Genomic DNA, 21,189 nt, shown 5'->3' with positions numbered 1-21,189 from the left:
CTATGATGACTATAATCAAAAAGATAATAACAAGTGTTGGTGAGATGTGGAGAAATTGGCACCCTCATAAACTGCTGATGGAAATATAAAATGGTGCAGATACTTTGGGAAAAAGTCTAGCAGTTCCTCAAAAAGTTAAACATAGAATTGCCATATACATTAGCACTCCTAGATATACACCCTAAAGAAATTACAATATATGTCCACAAAAAAACTTGTACAGGAATATGCATAACAGCATTATTCATAATAGCCAAAAGGTGGAAACAATCCCAGTGCCAAATAACTAGTGAATGGATAAACAAAATGTAGTATATCCATATAATAGAACATTATTTGATCATAAAAAGTTATTGAGTACCAATATATGGTACAACATGGATGGACCTTGAAAACATTATAGTAAATGAAAGTAGCCAGCCACAAAGACCACATATTATATGATTCCATTTATATGAAATTTATAGAATAGGCAAATCTAAAGAGGCAGAAAGTAGATTAATTGTTGCTTAGGGATGGAAGAAAGGAGTGGGAGGTTGGGGAGAAATTGGAGAGTGACTGCTAATGAGTATGAGGTTTCTTTTGGGGGCAATGAAAATGTTTTAGAATTCATCATGAAATCAACTTTGCACAACTCTTGGGTATACTAAAGCCACTGGATTAGGCTGGGTGCAGTGGCTCACGCCTGTAATCCCAGCACTTTGGGAAGCTGAGGTGGGAGGATCACTTGAGGCCAGGAGTTCGAGACCAGCCTGTACAACATACAAAGACCCCATCTCTATAAAAAAAATAGAAAAACTAGCCAGGTGCAGTGATGTGCACCTGCAGTCCCAGCTACTCAAGAGGCTGAGGTGGGAGGATCCCTTGAGCCCAGGAGTTCAAGGATTCAGGCCGCTGCACTTCAGCCTGGATGACAGAGCAAGACCCTGTCTCAAAAAATGAAACAAAACAAAAAAACTCCACTGAATTGTACAATCTAAGTTGGTGAATTTTATGGTATGTGAATTATGTTTTTAAAATACAAATGTTTTTAAAAAGTCAAAAGTCAAGTTCATTTTAAATCAGAATAAAAGAAGAAAAGGTATTACTCCATTTGAACTTTAGTACTTTAAATCCTCTCTCTTCCTGACTCTTCCGGGATGTTACTCCACAAACTATTCTCTTCCCCCTGTATCCTCAATTATTTTTTCTTCCATTGGTTCTTTCACCATGCTCATTTTCCTCCATCATAAGTAAAGGGCTCCCTCAATCAGAAGTTTCTCAATAGTTGATGGTTCAATTTGCTCCTTCCCTCTATAAATAGCAATCTTAGAAAAGTATTTATGTCAATTAGAATGCTTTTGGCGGTAACACAAAATGGCTTAACCAAAAAATGACATTTACTTTCATGCAACAATTTGTTTAAAGATAGACTGGTTCTATGGTGGTCAGTTCATCAGCTCAGTGGTATCATGGACTATATTAGTTAGGATATAGCTTTGGCTACTATAAAAATTACAACGGCTGAAATAAGACAAATATTTATTTTGGTCTTATGAAATAATCTGAGCATAAGCCATCCAGGGATAATACCGTGGCTTCAAAATATGAAGGAACTGGCTGGCCACGGTGGCTCATGCCTGTAATCCCAGCACTTTGAGAGGCCAAGGCGGGCAGATTGCCTGAGCTCAGGAGTTTCAAACCAGCCTGGGCAACACGGTGAAACCCCGTCTCTACTAAAAAATACAAAAAATTAGCCGGGACGGGTGGCGTGCACCTGTAGTCCCAGCTACTCAGGAGGCTGAGGCAGGAGAATTGCTTGAACCCGGGAGGCAGAGGTTGCAGTGAGCCAAGATCACGCCACTGCACTCCAGCCTGGGTGACAGAGCGAGACTCCGTCTCAAAAACAAACAAACAAACAAAACAAAACAAAACAAAAATGAAGGAACTAAAGTTCTTCATGCCTTCTTCCATCTTTCACTTGGGGCTTCTATCATATGTTCCATGATGGCTGCTCTAGTGTGGGCATTCACATTTTCATTCTAGCCATACAGAAGGGTAAAAGGGAAGAAGTGAATATATCCATTCTCTCTAAGGGTACAACCCAGAAAGTGCACACATCATCTCCACTCAAATACCATTGACCTACCATGTCCCACCTCATTGATAAATATACCGTATATGTAACAAAAATTTTGGGGTCTAATACTAAACGAAGAAGGGAAATAGACATTGGAAAATAACCAGAAGACTTTGCCAAAAAGACAAAGGTGCACTCTACCATCTTCCATGTGTTGGTGTTATGAGAAAAATCCAGGACTGTATAGAAAAATGTTCTCCCAAGCTGGGAGGGAACCAAGAGACTGAAGAATGACTCAGACGAGTCCAGCCCAGCGAGTGGATGAGTTTGTGAGGACTTATACAGGACACTTCTGGGCAGCAGCAGGATAGCTCTAGAGATCCATGCCACCTCCCATCTCTAAACTGCTTTTAAACAAATTTTCTGTAACTTCTTTGCCTACTGTGTTTGAGCAATGAGATTGTTTTCCTTGATAAGTTCTCAGATACCATCTGAGATATTTGGGTTCTCAGGGACACCTGCTCCTCCAGTGGGCATCATGGTCTTGGCTCACTGCCCCGCCTTCCCCATTCAAGCAGTGGATGTACACCTTAAATAACCTAGTGGGGACACATCACACTACAATCCACCCCATTCCCCAGCTCTTTATATTCTTCCCACCAATCTTGCATGAAAGTCCTTGAGTGGGGTATGAGGGGAAGAACTATACAGACCTATAAAGTATAGCCATGGCTTGTGCGTACAAGCCACATCTACAGTATACAAAACATCATAAAAAGCAGAAGCTAACTACAATTATGATGCCTGTTAGCAAAACGTAACTCCAATGAGTAGGTAAGGTGTGTAACCAATTTGAGAATGAGTCAAAGAAGCTTAATCGGGTTATATAACGAATTTGAGTTGACAAATGATTTAAAACATTTGTGACACTGTTCTCTTCATCAGGCATATAGGCACAACAGGTAGTGCCTCTAAGGGTACGTATTGGTTTTTGTGGATTAAAAAAAAAAAACTTTTTAAAAATTTCAATAGTTTTTGGGGAACAGATTTTTTTTGTTACATTAATAAGTTCTTTAGTGGTGATTTCTGAGATTCTGCTGCACCTGTCACTGGAGCAGAGTATACTGTACCAAATATGTAGTCTTCCATTGCTCACCCTCCCGACCCTTTGCCCGGAGTCCCCAAAGTCCATTATATCATTCTTATGCCTTTGCATCCTCATAGCTTAACTCTCACTTTTAAGTGAGAACATACAATATTTGGTTTTCCATTCCTGAGTTACTTCACTTAGAATAATGGCCTCCAACTCCATCCAAGTTGCTGCAAAGGCCATTATTTTGTTCTGTTTTATGGCTGAGTAATATTCCATGGTGTATATATACCACATTTCCTTTATCCGCTCATTGGTTGATGGGCATTTAGCTTGGTTCCATATCTTTGTAATTGTGAATTGTGCTGCTACAAACATGCGTGTGCATTCATCTTTTTCACATAATGACTTATTTTCCTTTGGGTAAACACCCAGTAGTGGGATTGCTGGGTCAAATGGTAGTTCCACTTTTAGTTCTTTAAGGGGTATCCATACTGTTTTCCGTAGTGGTTGTACTAGTTTACATTCCCACCAGCAGCGTAAAAGAGCTCCCTTTTCACCACATCCATGCCAACATCTATTTTTTTTTAATTTTTAAATTATGGCCATTCCTGCAGGAATGAGGTTGTATCTCATTGTGGTTTTGATTTGCATTTCCCTTATAGTGATTTTGAGCATTTTTTCAATGTTTGTTGGCTGTCTGTATATATTTTTTCAAGAATTGTCTATTCATGTCCTTTACCCACTTTTTTTTTTTTTTTGAAACGGAGTCTTGCTTTGTCACCCAGGCTGGAGTGCAGTGGCACGATCTCGGCTCACTGCATTCTCCTGCTTCAGCCTCCTGAGTAGCTGTGACTACAGGCACACACCACCATGCATGGCTATTTTTTTGTATTTTTAGTAGAGACAGGGTTTCACCATGTTTGCCAGGCTGGTCTTGAACTCCTGACCTCAAGTAATCTACCCGCCTCAGCCTCCCAAAGTGCTGAGATTACAGGCGTGAGCCACCATGCCTGGCCCCATTTATTTATTTTTGTTTTTGTTGCATTTGCTTTCGGATTCTTAGTCATGAATTCTTTGCCTAAGCCCATGTCTATAAGAGTTTTTCTGATGTTATCTTCTAGAATCTTTGTGGTTTCAGTTCTTAGGTTTAAGTCTTTGATCCATCTTGAGTTGATTTTTCTATAAGGTGAGAGATGAGGATCCAGTTTCATTCTACATGTGGCTTGCCAGTTATCCCAGCACCATTTATTGAATAGGGTATCCTTTCCCCACTTTATGTTTTTGTTTGTTTTGTCGACGACCAGTTAGCTGTAAGTATTTGGCTTTATTTCTGGGTTCTCTATTCTGTTCCATTGGTCTACATGCCTATTTTTATAGCAGTACCACGTTGTTTTGGTAACTATAGCCTCACAGCAAAATTTGAAGTCAGGTAATGTGATGCCTCCAGATTTGTTCTTTTTCTTATTACTGCTTTGGCTATGTGGGCTCTTTTTTGGTTCCATACAAATTTTAGGATATTTTTCTAGTTCTGTGAAGAATGATGATGGTATTTTGATGGGAATTGCATTGCATCTGTATATTGCTTTTGGCAGTATGGTCATGTTCACAATATTGATTCTACCTATTCATGAGCATGGGATGTGTTTCCATTTGTTTGTGTCATCTATGATTTCTTTCAGTGTTTTGTAATTTTCCTTGTAGAGAACTCTCACCTCCTTGGTTAAGCATATTCCTAAGTATTTTATTTAATTAATTTTTTTTTGCAGCTGTTGTAAAAGGGATTGAGTACTTGATTTGATTCTCAGCTTTGTCATTGTTGGTATATAGCAGTGCTACTGATTTGTGTACATTGATTTTGTATCCCGAAACTTTACTGAACTCATTTATCAGGTCTAGATTTTTGGATGAGTCTTTAGGGTTTTCTAGGTACATGATCATATCATCGGCGAACAGCAACAGTTTGACTTCCTCTTTTCCAATTTGAATACCCTTTATTTCTTTCTTTTGTCTGACTGCTCTGGCTAGGATTTCCAGTACTATGTTGAGTAGAAGTGGTGAAAGTGGGTATTCTTGTCTTGTTCTAGTTCTCTGGGGGAATGCTTTCAAATTTTCCTTGTTTGGTATTGTGTTGCCTGTTGGTGTGTCATAGATGGCTTTTATTACTTTGAGGTATGTCCCATCTATGACAATTTTTTGAGGGTTTTGATCATGAAAGGATGCTGGATTTTATCAAATGCTTTTCCTGTGCCTACTGAGATTATCACATAATTTTTGTTTATATGATGTATTACATTTATTGATTTGCATATGTTAAACCATCCCTGAATCCCTGGTATGAAATCCACTTCATCATGTATATTATCTTTTTGATATGCTATTAGATTCAGAAAGCTAGTATTTTGTTACAATTTTTTGCATCTATGTTCATCAGAGATAATGGTCTGTAGTTTTCTTTTTTTGTTATGGCCTTTCCTGGTTTTGGTATTAGGGTAATACTGCCTTCAAAGAATGATTTAGGGAGGATTCCATCTTTCTTTATCTTTTGAAATAGTTTCAGTAGAATTGGTACCAATTCTTCTTTGAATGTCTGATACAATTCGGCTGTGACTCCATCTGATCCTGAAATTTTTTTTTTGGCAATTTTAAAATCATCGATTCAATCTCACTGCTTGTTATTGGTCTGTTCAGAGTTTCTATTTCTTCCTGATTTAATCAGGAGGGTTGTACATTTCCAGGAATTTATCCATCTCCTTTAGACTTTCTAGTTTGTGCACATAAAGGTGTTCATAGTAGCCTTGAATGATCTTTTGTATTTCTGTAGTATCAGTTATAACATCTTCCATTTTGTTTCTAATTGAGCTTATTTGGATCTTCTTTCTTCTTTTCTTAGTTAATCTCACTAATGGTCTATCAATTTTGTTTATCTTTTCAAAGAAACAGCTTTTTGTTTCATCTGTCTTGAATTTTTTTTGTTTCAATTTCATTTAGTTTCTGCTGTGATCTTTGTTAATTTTTTTTTCTGCTGGGTTTGGGTTTGGTTCTTGTTTCTCTAGTTCCTTGAGGTTGTCTATTTGTGCTCTTTCAGACTTTTTGATGTAAGCATTTAATGCTATGACCTTCCCTCTTAGCACCATTTTTTCTGTATCCCAGCGGTTTTGATAAGTTGTGTCACTATCATTCAGTTCAAAGAATTTTTAAATTTCCATCTTGATTTCATTGTTAACCCAAAGATCATTCAAGAGCAGATTATTTAATTTCTATGTATTTGTATAGTTTTGAGGATTCCTTTTGGAGCTATTTTCCAGTTTTATTTCACTGTGGTCTGAGAAGATACTTGATATAATTTTGATTTTCTTAAGTTTATTGAGACTTGTTTTGTGGCCTAAGGGCACATATCTTTTAGTCTCCATTGCACTGGCAATCAGGCCTTCCTGCAGAGACAATCCCTAGTGATCCTGGGTTGCCTTATTGGTGCTGTTGAACCAGTCACTCCAGTTCTGTCAGGCAAAAGGCAGAATATCCCAAGGCATACCATTGCAACTTAACAAGGGGAGGAATCCACATACCCCACAATAGGACTGGTGGCTGACCGCTGCTGTAGTCACAGCCTAGTTCAGAAGACATTACCAGCTGCCATGGGTAGCAGAAACAAGGCAAACACAGATGTTCAGTAGGGACCCTCATGGGTATATCTACTCCTTGTAACATTATTATTGCTATATTTTCTCCCATTGGCCCTATTAATGAGGCTGCCACAGGCTTCAGTTCTGGCTTACAGTACCACACATGGCTTCCCTCTCTAGGAGTGGGTATAGTAGCCAATTGGTAAGCTTCCAGCCTTGCCTATGCAATCTGCACTATGACCACTCCAGCAGGCATCAGTGCTGCTGATGTTGATATCATAAGGCTCTCAGACCTCCCTCAAAGAGTACAGCTGGGATCACTTATCCTCCAGCAGCCTTCATTCACCCTCCAGCATCATAAAACCTGAAGGTCCATGTAGCCATCGCCACTTGGCAGATCCACTGGTGTTCTTAGGAGCACAGTATGGCTTCTGCTTCAGAAGCACAGCTCAGTGTCTCAGAGGTAACGCTGAGAGTTTGCGGCGCATATTTTACAGGCCCATTCATACGGAATGATGCCAAGTGTGTTAGTGGGTAACTCTTTTAAAATTTGTATGGTTTCAGGGAGATTCTTAGTCCAGGGAACTTAGCCATTCTGGGACAGTGCATGTAATTGGGTTTTTAAAAGGCCATTCCTTTTTTTTCTGTGAGTCCTGCCCCTGTTGGGTTATATGGTAGTGGAACCTCCAGTCTATGGTTTGTTCTGATGCCCAGTGTTGGATATCGTGGCCCATGAATGGGAGCTCTGATCATTATATATTCTTCGTAGCATGCCATATATGAAACTAAGAGCAGTGAGACACTTGATGGTCTCCAGCTGGGTGGCATGTTTTATTGGGAAGGCCCCAATTGTTGTGTAGTAGTAGCCCCATTGTTGTGTCCACACAGGTTAAGGTATGCCTTTCCCCACCATTCCAGGGCACAGGACCAATACAATTGACTTGTCAGTCCTGTGGAGGTTGTATGGGTTTATGTATGTGACTTGGTGCAGAGGGAACCCTTCTAGGTCTCAGCTGTGAGTAGGTCTCACAGTTCTGAACAGCTGCTAGAATATCTGCATAGAGGATGGAGATGCCTGCTGCCTTTGCTGTGGCCCACCCTGTGGCTGCTCTTATGATGTACCTATATGGTTATATGGTGTCAGTATCCATTTGTACCATGACCACTGACCATTGGTGTTGGGTGCCTTTGCTAGACCCATCAATGTACCAGGTCCTAGTGGGTATTGGTGGGGTCCCCTTATATACAATGGTTGGCCTGGTAGGTGGTTCCGTTGCCATCTTGGCTCCCTCCACTTGTTCAAAGTGAATGGGTCCAAGCACCTCCTGTAGAAGCTGACTTTAAGGACTAGTACACAGGGCACCCCTTTGTTGTAGACAGGCATGCCATTTCTGCAGGGTGTGTAATTGTGCCACCCCAGAGACGGGCTTGGTTAGAAAGCCTTCCACCCACCTTTTATGGGGTAGGCAGTTTTTATTGTGTGGTCTGCTTTCTGGTGGTGATGGCCTCTGCTTGTTGCAATGCCCTATACATGGCTAATAGCTGTTGCTCTAGGACTGTATAGTGGGATTCTGCCCCCTTTCATAATTGAGACCAGGCCGGGTGCAGTGGCTCACACCTGTAATCCCAGTACTTTGGGAGGCTGAGGCAGGCGGATCACAAGGTCAGGAGATCGAGACCATCCTGGCTAACACAGTGAAACCCTGTCTCTACTAAAAATACAAAAAAATTAGCTGGGCGTGGCGGTGTGTGCCTGTAGTCCCAGCTGCTGGGGAGGCTGAGGCAGGAGAATGGCATGAACCTGGGAGGTGGAGCTTGCAGTGACCCGAGATCACGCCACTGCACTCCAGCCTGGGTGACAGAGCAAGACTCCATCTCAAAACAAAGAAACATAATTGAGACCAAAACCCTACAGTTACCATTCCCATTGGCTGCTTTTGCCACAAACCCTAAGTCATCCTTGTGGCATCTCTAGTGACTTCTAATACAAAAGGATCCTGTGGCAGTGGGACCTCTAGTGCTTGGGCTTGTTTCACCAATATTTTTGCTTTCTCAAATGGCTCTTGCTCTATGTGTGCCCAATCCCATTTTTTACTCTTCTTCATTAGGGTGTACAATGGGCTGAGGGTTTGTGCCAAATGAGGAATGAATATCCTCCAGTAGCCCAGTAAACCTAGGAAAACCTACAGTTGCTTTACTGTCTGGGGAACAAGCTGCTGTACTATCTTATCAGTGACAGCTCCAGGTATGTTTCATGTCTTAGTTGACCAGGTAACTCCCAGGAATTTGGGCCCCTATCCCGGGCCCCTGTATCTTTTTGGGGTTGGCTTCCCATCCCCTGTTCTTTAGGCCATCCAAGGTGGTTTGTAGGGTAGTCTCCACATCTGCAAGAGACTCTGAGGTTAGCATGATATCATTAATACAGTGAAACACAGAGACTGAGGCAGGCAAAGAGAGTCTAGATAGGTACTATGCAACTATACTGTGATAGATGGTGGGGTTGTGCAGGTATCCTTTTGGTAGTACCTGGAAAGTCCATTATTGGCCCTCCCAAGTGAAGGCAAACTGGTCTTGTAAATCTTCCACTAAAGGAATACTGGAAAAGGCATAATCCAAGTCAATCATAGCACGGACACTTCCCAGCTTAAGGACTACTTGCTGTGGCAGTTGAGTAATATTGGGTACGGCAGCAGATACAAGCAGCACCACCTCATTTAGCTCATGGTAGTCTACCATCATTTTCCAAGTGCCATTTGGCTTTTTCACAGGCCACACAGGGCTGTTATAGGGGTTCTGGCCTATCTGTACCTTATGTAACTTCTGGATTGTTTGGGTGATCTCAGAATCTTCCCCTGGTAGGCAGTATTATTTCATCTTCGTTGCCTGCCTGGGCTAGGGCAAGTGTACAGGCACCCATTTGGCCCATATTCTTTTTGCTCCTTGATTTATTTTCAGACTCCGTCCTTGTTTTTATTCAGCTCACAGAGGTCCACCAATGCTTCCCCTACATAACAGATTTCATTTCCCATTAACAGGTACAGAAGTACAACCAATGCCCTCTATTATAACATTTTTTTTTCAACTGGAAATCACTCAGACATTCACTGAGTACCTAAAATAATTTTAAGATTTTAAATTACACAAGAGTTCACCTATAAGCATTTATCTCATTCATATCTATCCAATTCATTCGTTTTTAGCAGTTTATCTGGATGACTCATGAGAACTGAGATATTAGACAAATCTAATCACTATTCTAACTTATTTTCCTGTTAACCATTTTTATAGCCTGTAAATATAAGATGTTCACCTAAGTAAAAACCTTAAAGTTCCCCCCTCCCCCTGTGTCCATGTGTTCTCTTTGTTCAACTCCCACTTATGAGTGAGAAACACCAGGGCCTGTTGGGGGGTGGGGGGCTAGGGGAGGGATAGCATTAGGAGAAATACCTAATGTAGATGACGGGTATATGGGTGCAGCAAACCACTATGGCACGTGTATGCCTATGTAACAAACCTGCATGTTCCGCACATGTACCCCAGAACTTAAAGTATAATAATTAAAAAAAAACCTTAAACACATGGGCATTTTGCTGATAATTCAGAAGATTTTGTTACTTTCATTGAACCAACTATATTAAATTAGTCTTATTTGTCAAAAAAACCACACAAACAAAGATCATTCTGGTTTTGGCTGGGTTTACAGTCTTATAACTTTCATGTCAAACTCTGACATCTTAAAATATCTAGCAGAGGCAAATATAAAACTTACCTAATCAGTAAACCTAGACAAAAATGTATGCAGACAATTCTGAAGACATTTCTATTTTATTTTACCAATAATTTTAAATCCAGCTTGTTTATTAAAGATTACTAAATTTACACAAACTTAAAAAGTACTTGACTTTACCTTAATGTGTGAGTACTCATTTACTTATAAGCCAAGTTGGTAGCATGTCAGACATAACATATAACACATGTACATACATATAAACATAAACATGTATGCTCTCTCACACACACACACGCACACACACACACACCCAGTACCTTTTACTTCAGAACTCTAGCCATGAGATAGTATTATAAACTCATGAGACTATAAAGGATAACTGGATCCATATCATTTTTGACAAAATTGGGACCCCTTCATATGGCTAAACTTTATTTGCCTAATAGGTAATCCAGTGAAGGCTGTGGACAAAAATTTGGGGTAAAGTAGTTTTCATAGCAGTTTGATTTTTTAAAAAACTTCTTTTACCCTCTTTTTTTTCTTCAGTTTCAAATGAGTTTCTAACATTTACATTTTAGTTAGAATTGTCTGACCTGTGTAAGAAAAACAAAATCCCCAAGTGGCTTTGAATTAGCAGTACCATAAACAGTGAGTTTGATTTCAACACCAGTAGTTTAATAACAACAGATTCAAAGCAGGCAGAAAAGAAAAGAGAGAAATAGAGAGCTTCAGAAGATCTGATGAACTATAGCTGAAGGTGAAACATTTGAGCTCTGGATTTTTCTTGCTGTAATTTGGCCATCAGTTTAAAAAGGTGCACAAGGATGAGTCATAATATGTAACCAGCTGGCGTCCTAGAAAACCTGGCATGCCTTTGAACTTCCCCATGTTTTTGGAAACATAAGCTACAGGAGTTCCAACCCTTCCTCCCTTTTATCTACCTTCTCCACCAAATCCCCAACCAGGGCCGACATGGATACTCGCATGTGCCTTTCTAACTGCAGCTCCTCCCTTAACTTTTGTATCTATTTTTCCTGCTTTAACAATTTCTCAGTAGCCAGTCTTACCACAGCAACAGCACATCTGCTATTCTTATTGTACTTTAACATCTTAGGTCCTTGCACTACATGCTTACTCCCCACTGGAATTTTCTAAGCATCCCTGTACTCAAGCAGCAGCCCACAAAGGTTGAGCAGTTGGACTATTTCACCCCACATGGATGCCGTCGACCACCCTGGGATTCCCACTGCAGACACCCCTTCCTGAATCTCCCTTTGGTCTCTTAGATCCTGTTTGTGATGCCAATTGTTATAAGAAAAGCCCAGGATTTTATAGAATAATGGTCTCCCAAACTGGGAGGGAGCTGAGACCAAAACGTGACTCAGACAGTTCAGATTGGCAAGTAGATGAGTTTATTAGGACTTACATACAGGGCGCTCCTGAGCAGCAGCAGGACAGCTCTAGAGACCTGTGCTACTTTCCATCTCTAAACTGCCTTTAATTTTCTGGCTCTTTGCCTACTGTGTTTGAGCAATGAGACTGTTTTTCTTAGTAGGTTCCCAGATACTCTCCATGATGTTTGGGTTCTCAGAAACACCTGTTCCTTGGCTGGACATCATGGCCTTGGCTCACAGCCTGGCCTTCCGAGTTCAAGCAGTGGACACACACCCTTCAGTAATCTGGTGAGGGACCTGTTACATTATAGTTGGCTTCTTTTTTTTTTTTTTTTTTTTTTTTTTGAGAGTGGGTCTCACTCTGTCACTCAGGCTGGAGTGCAGTGGTACAATCATAGCTCATTGCAGCATCCATCTCCCAGGCTCATGCAATCCTCCTGCTTCAGCCTTCTGAGTAGCTGCATTTATAGCGTCATGCCACCATGCCTGGCTAATTTTTTCCCAACTTTCAGTAGAGATGAGTTCTCACTATGTTCCCCAGGCTGGTCTCAAACTCCCGAGCTCAAGCAATCCTCCCACCTCAGCCTCCCAAAGCTCTGAGATTACAAGTGTGAGCCACCATCGCCCAGCCACCTTATTTTCTAATGCTGGCTCCTCTTATGTTTTCAAAATGGCAGTTGCCATTCTAGTCACATCAGAAGCAGACATCCATGCCTAGAGACAGAATAAGTCATGTCTGTGTCTTGTGTACCCTGTTAATAGCAAGGAAAACCTTCCTAGAAGCACTCCAGCAGACTTTTCCTCCTGTGTCATTGTCCAGAATTGTCCAAGCCTAAACCATTCCTTTAATAAGAAAAATGAGGCTAGACCAATCAAGATTTATTCCCTAAGACGGGGGAGTGTCTCAGTCTCCCCTGATGGACATAGCCACTTGGAAGAGGTCAACAAAATTGTGGTTCTGATAGTAAGGACAGAGAAAAGAGGGTAGTTATTGGGCCCAAGGGCCAAAGTGATCATCATGGCTTCCACTTTCCCATAACCCTTAACTCATACCTCATCTGGTGGGGTCACCCAACCTTAGTCTCAGAGGATCCAAGTCCTTAGTGCTCTCATCTTCATTGGGTTGCTTCAGTTTCCCACTGTCCAGTAATATTAGAGATGTGAATACTAAGAGACACCCTAGTGAATACCTGGGATTCCAGACATAGTCTTCCTTGTTTCCTTTGCGGAGCAATAACCAATTTCCCCATGGTAGTTAGAATCAATCACCCCAACCAGTACAATGACCCCCTTCTCTAACTGTTGATTTAGTGATCTGAAGACTCCAAAATAGCCAGATGGCAGTTTCAGCTTCCCGTTAAATAGAATTGTGACCATGTCATCTGGGGAAAGTATCAATCCCTTGGGCACTAGGGCCTCCAAACTCACCAAGTCCAATCCTATAGGGACAATATAATAGAGACAAAGTTGTAGAGAAAAAAACTTTCAAGAGAGTTATTAGGAATAATAGAAGAGCCACTCCTACCTCTGCCTCTTGGTTCACAGGCCCATGCATTCTGAATATTGAGTAGATGACAACATATAATGGTGACTGGGTTGAGTCCTATACTACATCCTTACAGGGGTTTTCTCTCAGCCAGCACCACGATTGATCCTTCTGCATACTTTCCTCTATCCTATCAAACTAGCTGTTCCTGAGTGATGGGTAAGATCAGTTAATTCCATGGGCATGACTCTGCTGCCACACTTCTCTCATAATAAAATTACTTTCTTGCTCAAAGATATTTGTGATACATGGTGATAAAACAAGGCATTCCATAAGCCCATGAATTGTGGCACTAATAGAAGCTTTCCAAGCAGGGAAGGTAAACCTCTACCTAGAATATGTATCTATTCCCATGATGACAGGTCACTCTTCCCTCTATAATGAAAGGAATCTAGTGAAATTAAACTGCCACCAGATGGTTGACTTATCTGTCAAGGGAACAGTATCATACTGGGATCTCTGCAATGGCCTCTGCTATAAGCAGATTAATCACTCCATAGTGGCAGTAACTGAATTATCCTTGGCAAGTAGAAGTCTACATTGTTGAATCTAATGTTAGCTTACATTCCTATTGTCACGTAGGCACACTGAGCAAGCACTAGAGTGACTGTGTAAAGAGGCTGATTGACACCTGGAGAACAGATCTTCTTGTATAACTATCGAGATGGATGCCCTCTGCTGGGCAGTATTGTAGTTCACAGTTATTTTCACATTCTGGGCAATTTTAAGAATCCATCCATAATACTTCTCCCACTGACTTCCTTATCTCAAATCTTCTTCCTTCCAAGTAATTGACCAACCTATTAGCTACTGTGCATGAATCAGTACAGATCCATACCTCAGATCAGCTCTTCTTCCTAAAAAAGAGGACAACCAGATGTATTGTTCAAAGTTATATCCACTGGGAGAATTTCTCCTCCTATCTTTCAGGGCCACCCCATTATGGTGTGGGCACAGAATTCTGTGGCTCTCTGCTTCAAGTTGGTGCTAGCATATTATGCAGACCATTAATAAACCAAGCCTAAACTTTTTCTTCCCCTGCTAAATGGCTATGAGCCTATAGATAATGGGTTGAAAAAAAAACAGGTGGCAAAGAAGTAAGGGCAGGTCCAATGGACATTTGTTCCATATGATTTACTTGTGTCTTCCAGATCATCTCAGGCCACCTCAGTGTATACTCTTCCATTTGACAACGGAATTCTGCTGCCCATGTTCAACTTACGATCCAGTAAATTAGGTAACATCCAATTTCTTTTATTTTCTTTTATTTTTTTAATTTTACTTTAAGTTCTGGGATACCTGTACAGAATGTGCAGGTTTGTTACACAGGTATACATATGCCATGGTAGTTTGCTGCACCTATCAACCTGTCATTTAGGTTTTAAGTCCCGTATGCATTAGGTATTTGTCCTAGTGCTCTCTCTCCCCTTGCCCCCAACCCCCTCCCCCCGACACCACAGGCCCCCGGTGTGTGATGTTCCCCTCCCTGTGTCCACGTGTTCTCATTGTTCAACTCTCACTTATGAGTGAGAACATGCAGGGTAACTCCCAATTTCTAAAGAGCAGTTAATGTCACATAGTTACTTAGTATCCTGTGGTCAGGAGTCTAGCCTCTACTAAGACCTAGAAGTAAATCAAGAGTTGCCTTTCAAACAGACAATAGCTGTCAGCAGATAACAGCATATTCTTTTTTTTTTTTTTTTTTTTTTTTTTTTTTTTTTTTTTTTTTGAGACGGAATCTCGCTCTGTCGCCCAGGCTGGAGTGCAGTGGCGCGATCTCGGCTCACTACAAGCTCTGCCTCCTGGGTTCATGCCATTCTCCTGCCTCAGCTTCCCAAGTAGCTGGGACTACAGGCACTCGCCACCGCACCCAGCTAATTTTTTGTATTTTTAGAGAGATGGGGTTTCACCGTGATCTCAATCTCCTGACCTCGTGATCCTCCTGCCTCGGCCTCCCTAAATGCTGGGATTACAGGCGTGAGCCACCGCGCCTGGCCAACAGCATATTCTTATACCAAAATCCTAGGGGTCTGCATTGGGATTCTCCTACTGGGGTTGCAAGAGACTCCATACAGTTTCCTGTTTACCATTGGGTCTGCTGAATCCTAAAGCCTAAGTGTCAGGGCAGCTTGCATCATAGCCTTCTCTGTAGTACATTATGTAGTTCCAAGTGATATGAACAAGGTGGCAGTCATACAGGTTACATGGGTCAAAGAGTAGCAAATGCAGTACATTGTCTCAAAATACAAACAGGCCAAACAAACACTGTGCATCTTTAAGGTGGATGATACAAGGTAGAGCACTACTTCCTTGTTAGAAATGTCACTAATGTGTCAGGTTCCTGAACTGGGTTTATCTCTCGTTCTCTGGTATTAGTGGTATTTTTTAAAGTATGTAGGGTGGTTGCTACTTCCTGCTCACAAGGTGCAATTTGCATAATGTTATCAAGATAAAAGACTACCATGATATTCTACTGGATATCAAGGAAACAAAGGTCCCTCTGGAATGATACTCTATCATAGAACAGAAGTCTTTAAATATCCCTGAGGTAGTACAATGACAGTGCTGTTGCAATCATGTGAAAGCAAACTGCTTCTGATTATTTTTGCTGACGGGAATTGAAAAGAAAGCTACTTTCTAGTTTTCAAGTCAATAGCTACCTTCTAGGTGCCAAGAGCTGTTCTGATTTGCTCTAGTAAAGATCCCCCATATGTGGAACCACAACTATGACTAGCATCAACATTTGATTAAATTTTTAATAATCCACATTCTCCAAAACTAATTTGGCTATTGCACAAGCCAAGAGGAGTTAAAAGGAAAAGACTTGTATCTTTCATATCTTTAATGGTGGCACTAATCTCTGTAATTTCCCTGGAGATCAAATTTAATCTTGGTATTCTACTTTGGCATGGGTAAGAAGTTAGCTAGGGAGGTTACACTTGTTCCTACCTATCATAATAGCTCCCTAGAAACCTAATGTAGGAATTCTGCTACTCAATATATCTATACTCACATATATTTTGGGACTGGAAAAATAACTCCAGAGTGGATCTTTAGTCCCACTTGACTTTCTTAAATCTCTACTTTAATCACTGGAATTTTGGCGGTATTTTGAGACTGCAGAGATTATTATTTAGAGCTAATATCAATTAACCTCCAGAATGTATGAGAATCACCCATTCCTTAGCTCACAATCACCCTGGTAAAAGGCTACAAGTACCTCTGGAAATGGCCTTGGGGAAAAGTCACCGTTTATACCTGGCTGCACTATGGGACTCTCCCTCAAAGACATCCGCCCTCACCCTTAATTAAGGGACTCCAGGTTTGTGAATTGGTTTATGTCTAAGATTCAGGTAATATGTCTTGAATCTCTGTTACAGAGATTTCAGTTAGGTTTCTACCAATCAGTCCCAGGATTTTTCCACCTACATATGTCAAATGGCACTTAAGTACGCTGATGGTTTTATTCATTCCTAGAGACTCAGGGATTAATAATAGGATAGCACCACCTATCCTTGCAATCAAAACATCCTGATTTCACTTCTTCCTGAAGGTTATTATAGTAACTGTGCTAAACATGTCTTTGACAGTTGAGCCACCTGACCTCTACCAGGATATAAAATCATGGATCCCAGTTTCAATGTGGGCTCCCAATCATCATCTCTAATCCACTGAGGGCAGCCACAGAAGAATCTTTCGAGGATATCTGTTCTCCCTCATTCAATGCCTTGAAAAGAGTAAATTGTATGGGCCCTCCTGGGCATGGTATGAATAGAGTTTGACTAAGCAGAATGACTATAACAGAGCAAATCCAACATCCCATCTCCCTAAACCTTGAGATTCTTTCTTCTACAGTATGCCAGGGAAATTCTGGCATCTCAGCACATAGATTGTAAGCTATTATTGAGAACAAGCTTCTAGTAACCCACTTAGAAGGACTTCCAGATGCTCAAGTCAACAGAGCAAATCTGAATCCCAGGTAAGTATTTAGCAAGATCCTACAACTTCTTCATTGTATAAGCTCTCCTCCAAGAGCATTCTGTGTACTTCCCCATTAGGGCTATACTGAAACTCTTTCTTCTAACTCATGTTTAAAGTTCTAAGCCTCATTCATATCTGCTCAAATGCCCCCATCCCATGTCATAGGTTCTAGGCCATCTCCACCAGTGCCCTTACTTTAGCATAACAGAACTGGGTCTCACGTTTAATTAACATTGCAACTCCAAAGCCTTTATAGTCAGGCCCTGGACTTGGTCCTCAGCCATATCTTCCCCTTAGCTATGAGAGATAATGGATTTCTTCAAAGCTGTCAAGGAAGTTTTCTGATTTTCTATTCATGCCTGGTATTTGGAACCCAAAGCTATTTGTCTTGTTTTCATGTACTCTCACAGAAGCAGTCAGAAGAGCCAAATGACACAATAATTTTAGTAAACCTCACTGTTACAGCAGCTAAGTGCTAGAGATTGATCTTTCAATGTTGTGCCCTACACTGACACTCCATTTCATGTCACTGCTGATAGTTTGAGTAATTGTGATGCCACTCCATGCTACAGGATACCACTGTTCCATTTTCCTTGGCAAGTAGTTTATACAAGTAATCATCAGATATGTGAGTGATATCATCCTAGAAAGCCATTTTGAGAGTCTCTTTTCTGAGACTAATTCTAATCCCTATAACTTTATCAATCGGGTTTCTGGGAAGAAAAAGCACAGAAAGAGAATATAATAAAAGGACCATTTATAAAAATAAAAGCTGGGCACAGTGGTGCGCACCCATAGTCCCAGCTACTTGGGAGGCTGAGGTAGGTCGATTGCTTGAGGCCAGGAGTTTGAGGCTGTGGTACAGTATGATAGCACTTGTTAATAGCCACTGCATTCTAGCCTGGGCAACAGAGCAAGAACCCATCTCTAATAAATAAATAAATGATTAGATGACAGGGTTAAGCGAATCACCAATAGATAGTGAGGAATCCTGAGATTAGCAACAGTGGAAAGCCATTATTATCCTTGCTCTGCAGAGACAAAGAAAAGGAGAACTTACTGGAATCCTGCAAGAGCTATGCAGCTGTAAGATAGGATCCCAGCCAAGCATTGTAGCTTTTTCTGCTCATAACACTAGTCTACATGAGGTGTGGGCAAACTTTGGGCACCCTTTTGAACATACCTGTTATTGCGTGAGGAAACCAATAAGGAACAGTGTAAGATTATTTGTAATCTGCTATCTTTTCTTAGCTATTGAATTTGCAGACAAAATCAATTTGTGAGTTGAATACAGAAATCCTTCTACCAATTTTCACATAAACCTTAAAACCACTCTGACGATAAAGGTTAACAGAAACAGCTTTTTAACTGTATTAGTCCATTTTCACACTGCTGATAAAGACGTACCCAAGACTGGGCAATTTACAAAAGGAAGAGGTTTAATTGGATTTACAGTTCTATGTGGCAGGGAAAGCCTCACAATTGTGGCAGAAGGCAAGGAGGAGCAAGTCACATCCTACATGGATGGCAATAGGCAAAGGGAGGGCTCATGCAGGGGAACACCCCTTTTTAAAACCATCAGATCTCATGAGACTTATTCACTATCACGAGAACATGACAGGAAAGATTTGCCCCCATGATTCAATTACCTCCCACCAGGTCCCTCTCTCACGTGGGAATTCAAGATGAGATGTGGGTGGGCACACAGCCAAACCATACCATTCTGCCCCCGGCCCCTCCCAAATCTCATGTCCTCACGTTTCAAAACCAATCATGCCTTCCCAACAGTCCCCCAAAGTGTTAACTCATTTCAGCATTAACTCAAAAGTCCACAGTCCAACATCTCATCTGAGACAAAGGCAAGTCCCTTCCACCAATGAGCCTGTAAAATCAAAAGCAGGTTAGTTACTTCCTAGATACACTGGGAGTACAGGCATTGGGTAACTACAGCCATTCAAAATGGGAGAAATGGGCCAAAACAAAGGGGCTACAGGCCCCCTGCAAGTCTGAAATCAAGTGGGGCAGTCATATCTTAAAGATCCAAAATGATCTCCTTTGACTCCATGTCTCACATCTAAGTCATGCTGATGCAAGAGGTTGGTTCCCATGGTCTTGGGCAGCTCTGCCCCTGTGGCTTTGCAGGGTACAGCCTCCCTCTGGCTGCTTTCATGGGAAAGCCATGTTGAGTGTCTGCAGCTTTTCCAGGTGCACGGTGCAAGCTGTCAGTGGATCCACCATTCTGTGATCTGGAGGACAGTGGCCCTCTTCTCACAGCTCCACTAGGCAGTACCTCAGTAGGAACTCTGTCTGGGGGCTCTGACCCCACATTTCCCTTTCGCACCACCCTAGCAGAGGTTCTCCGTGAGGGCACTACCCCTGCAGAAAACTTCTGCCTGGACATCCAGGCATTTCCATACATCATCTGAAATCTAGGCAAAGATTCCCAAACCTCAATTCTTGACTTCTGTGTACTAGAAGGCTCAACACCACGTGGAAGCTGCCAAGGCTGGAGGCTTGCACCCTCTGAAGCCACGGCCCCAGCTCTATGTTGGCCCCTTTCAGCTGCAGCTGGAGCAGCTGGAAAGCAGGGCACCAAGTCTCTAGGCTGCACACAGCACAGGGACCCTGGGCCTAGCCAACGAAACCACTTTTTCCTCCTAGGTCTCCTGGCCTGTGATGGGAAGGTCTGCCATGAAGACCTCTGACACGCCCTGAAGGCATTTTCCCCATTGTCTTTGGAATTAATATTCAGCTTTTCGTTACTTATGCAAATTTCTGCAGCCTGCTTGAATTTTTCCTCAGAAAATGGGATTTTCTTTTCCATTGTATTGTCAGGCTGCAAATTTTCCAAACTTTTATGCTGTGCTTCCCTTATAAGACTGAATGCTTTTAACAACACCCTAGCCACCTCTTGAATGCTTTGCTGCTTAGAAATTTCTTCTGCCAGATACCCTAAATCTTCTCTCTCAAGTTCAAAGTTCCACAAACCTCTAGGGCAGGGGCAAAATGCCACCAGTGTCTTTGCTAAAACATAACAAAAGTCACCTTTGCTCCAGTTCCAACAAGTTCCTCATCTCCATTTGAGACTACCTCAGCCTGGACTTTATTGTTATATCACTATTAGCATTTTTGTCAAAGCCATTCAACAAGCCTCTAGGAAGTTCCAAACTTTCCCACATTTTCCTGTCTTCTTCTGAGCTCTCCAAACTCTTCCAACCTCTGCCTGTTACCCAGTTCCAAAGTTGCTTCCATATTTTCAGGTAACTTTTCAGCAACATCTCACTCTACTGGTAACAATTTTTTTTTTTTTTTTTTTTTGAGACAGAGTTTTGCTCTTGTTGCCCAGGCTGGAGTGCAATGGTGCAATCTTGGCTCACCACAACCTCTACTTCCTGGGTTCAAGCGATTCTCCTGCCTCAGCCTCCCAAGTAGCTGGGATTACAGGCATGTACCACCATGCCTGGCTAATTTTGTAGTTTTAGCAGAGATGGGGTTTTGGTCAGGCTGGTCTCAAACTCCCGACCTCAGATGATCCGCCCACCTTGGCCTCCCAAAGTGCTGGGATTACAGGCATGGGCCATGGCGCCAGACCTCAATTTAATGTATTAGTCTGTTTTCATGCTGCTGATAAAGACAAACCTGAGACCGGGCAATCTACAAAAGAAAGAGGTTTAATTGGACTTACAGTTCCATGTGGCTGCGAAGCCTCACAATCATGGCAGAGGGCAAGGAAGAGCAAGTCATGTCTCACACGATGGCAGCA

The 21,189-nt window shown here is 41.7% G+C and overlaps 2 protein-coding genes across 5 annotated transcripts in view; one reads left to right on the top strand and one right to left on the bottom strand.

Moving 5' to 3' along the window:
- MAP4K5 (mitogen-activated protein kinase kinase kinase kinase 5) overlaps window positions 1-21,189 on the top strand; it is a 142,606-nt gene that overhangs the window by 3,946 nt on the left and 117,471 nt on the right. For all 3 annotated transcript variants that reach the window (XM_047430898.1, XM_047430897.1, XM_047430893.1), the window contains exon 2: window positions 14,597-14,682. The gene's annotated coding sequence lies outside the window, so the exon portion shown is untranslated. The remainder of the gene's footprint in view (window positions 1-14,596; window positions 14,683-21,189) is intronic.
- ATL1 (atlastin GTPase 1) overlaps window positions 1-21,189 on the bottom strand; it is a 99,987-nt gene that overhangs the window by 75,888 nt on the left and 2,910 nt on the right. The gene's annotated exons all lie outside the window — the stretch shown is intronic.

The sequence above is a fragment of the Homo sapiens genome, chromosome 14 (assembly GCF_000001405.40).
Source record: "Homo sapiens chromosome 14, GRCh38.p14 Primary Assembly".
In the NCBI taxonomy this organism is placed as follows: Eukaryota; Metazoa; Chordata; class Mammalia; order Primates; family Hominidae; genus Homo; species Homo sapiens.
Note: the sequence above shows the minus strand (reverse complement) of the source record. Positions and strands in the feature narration are given on the sequence as shown.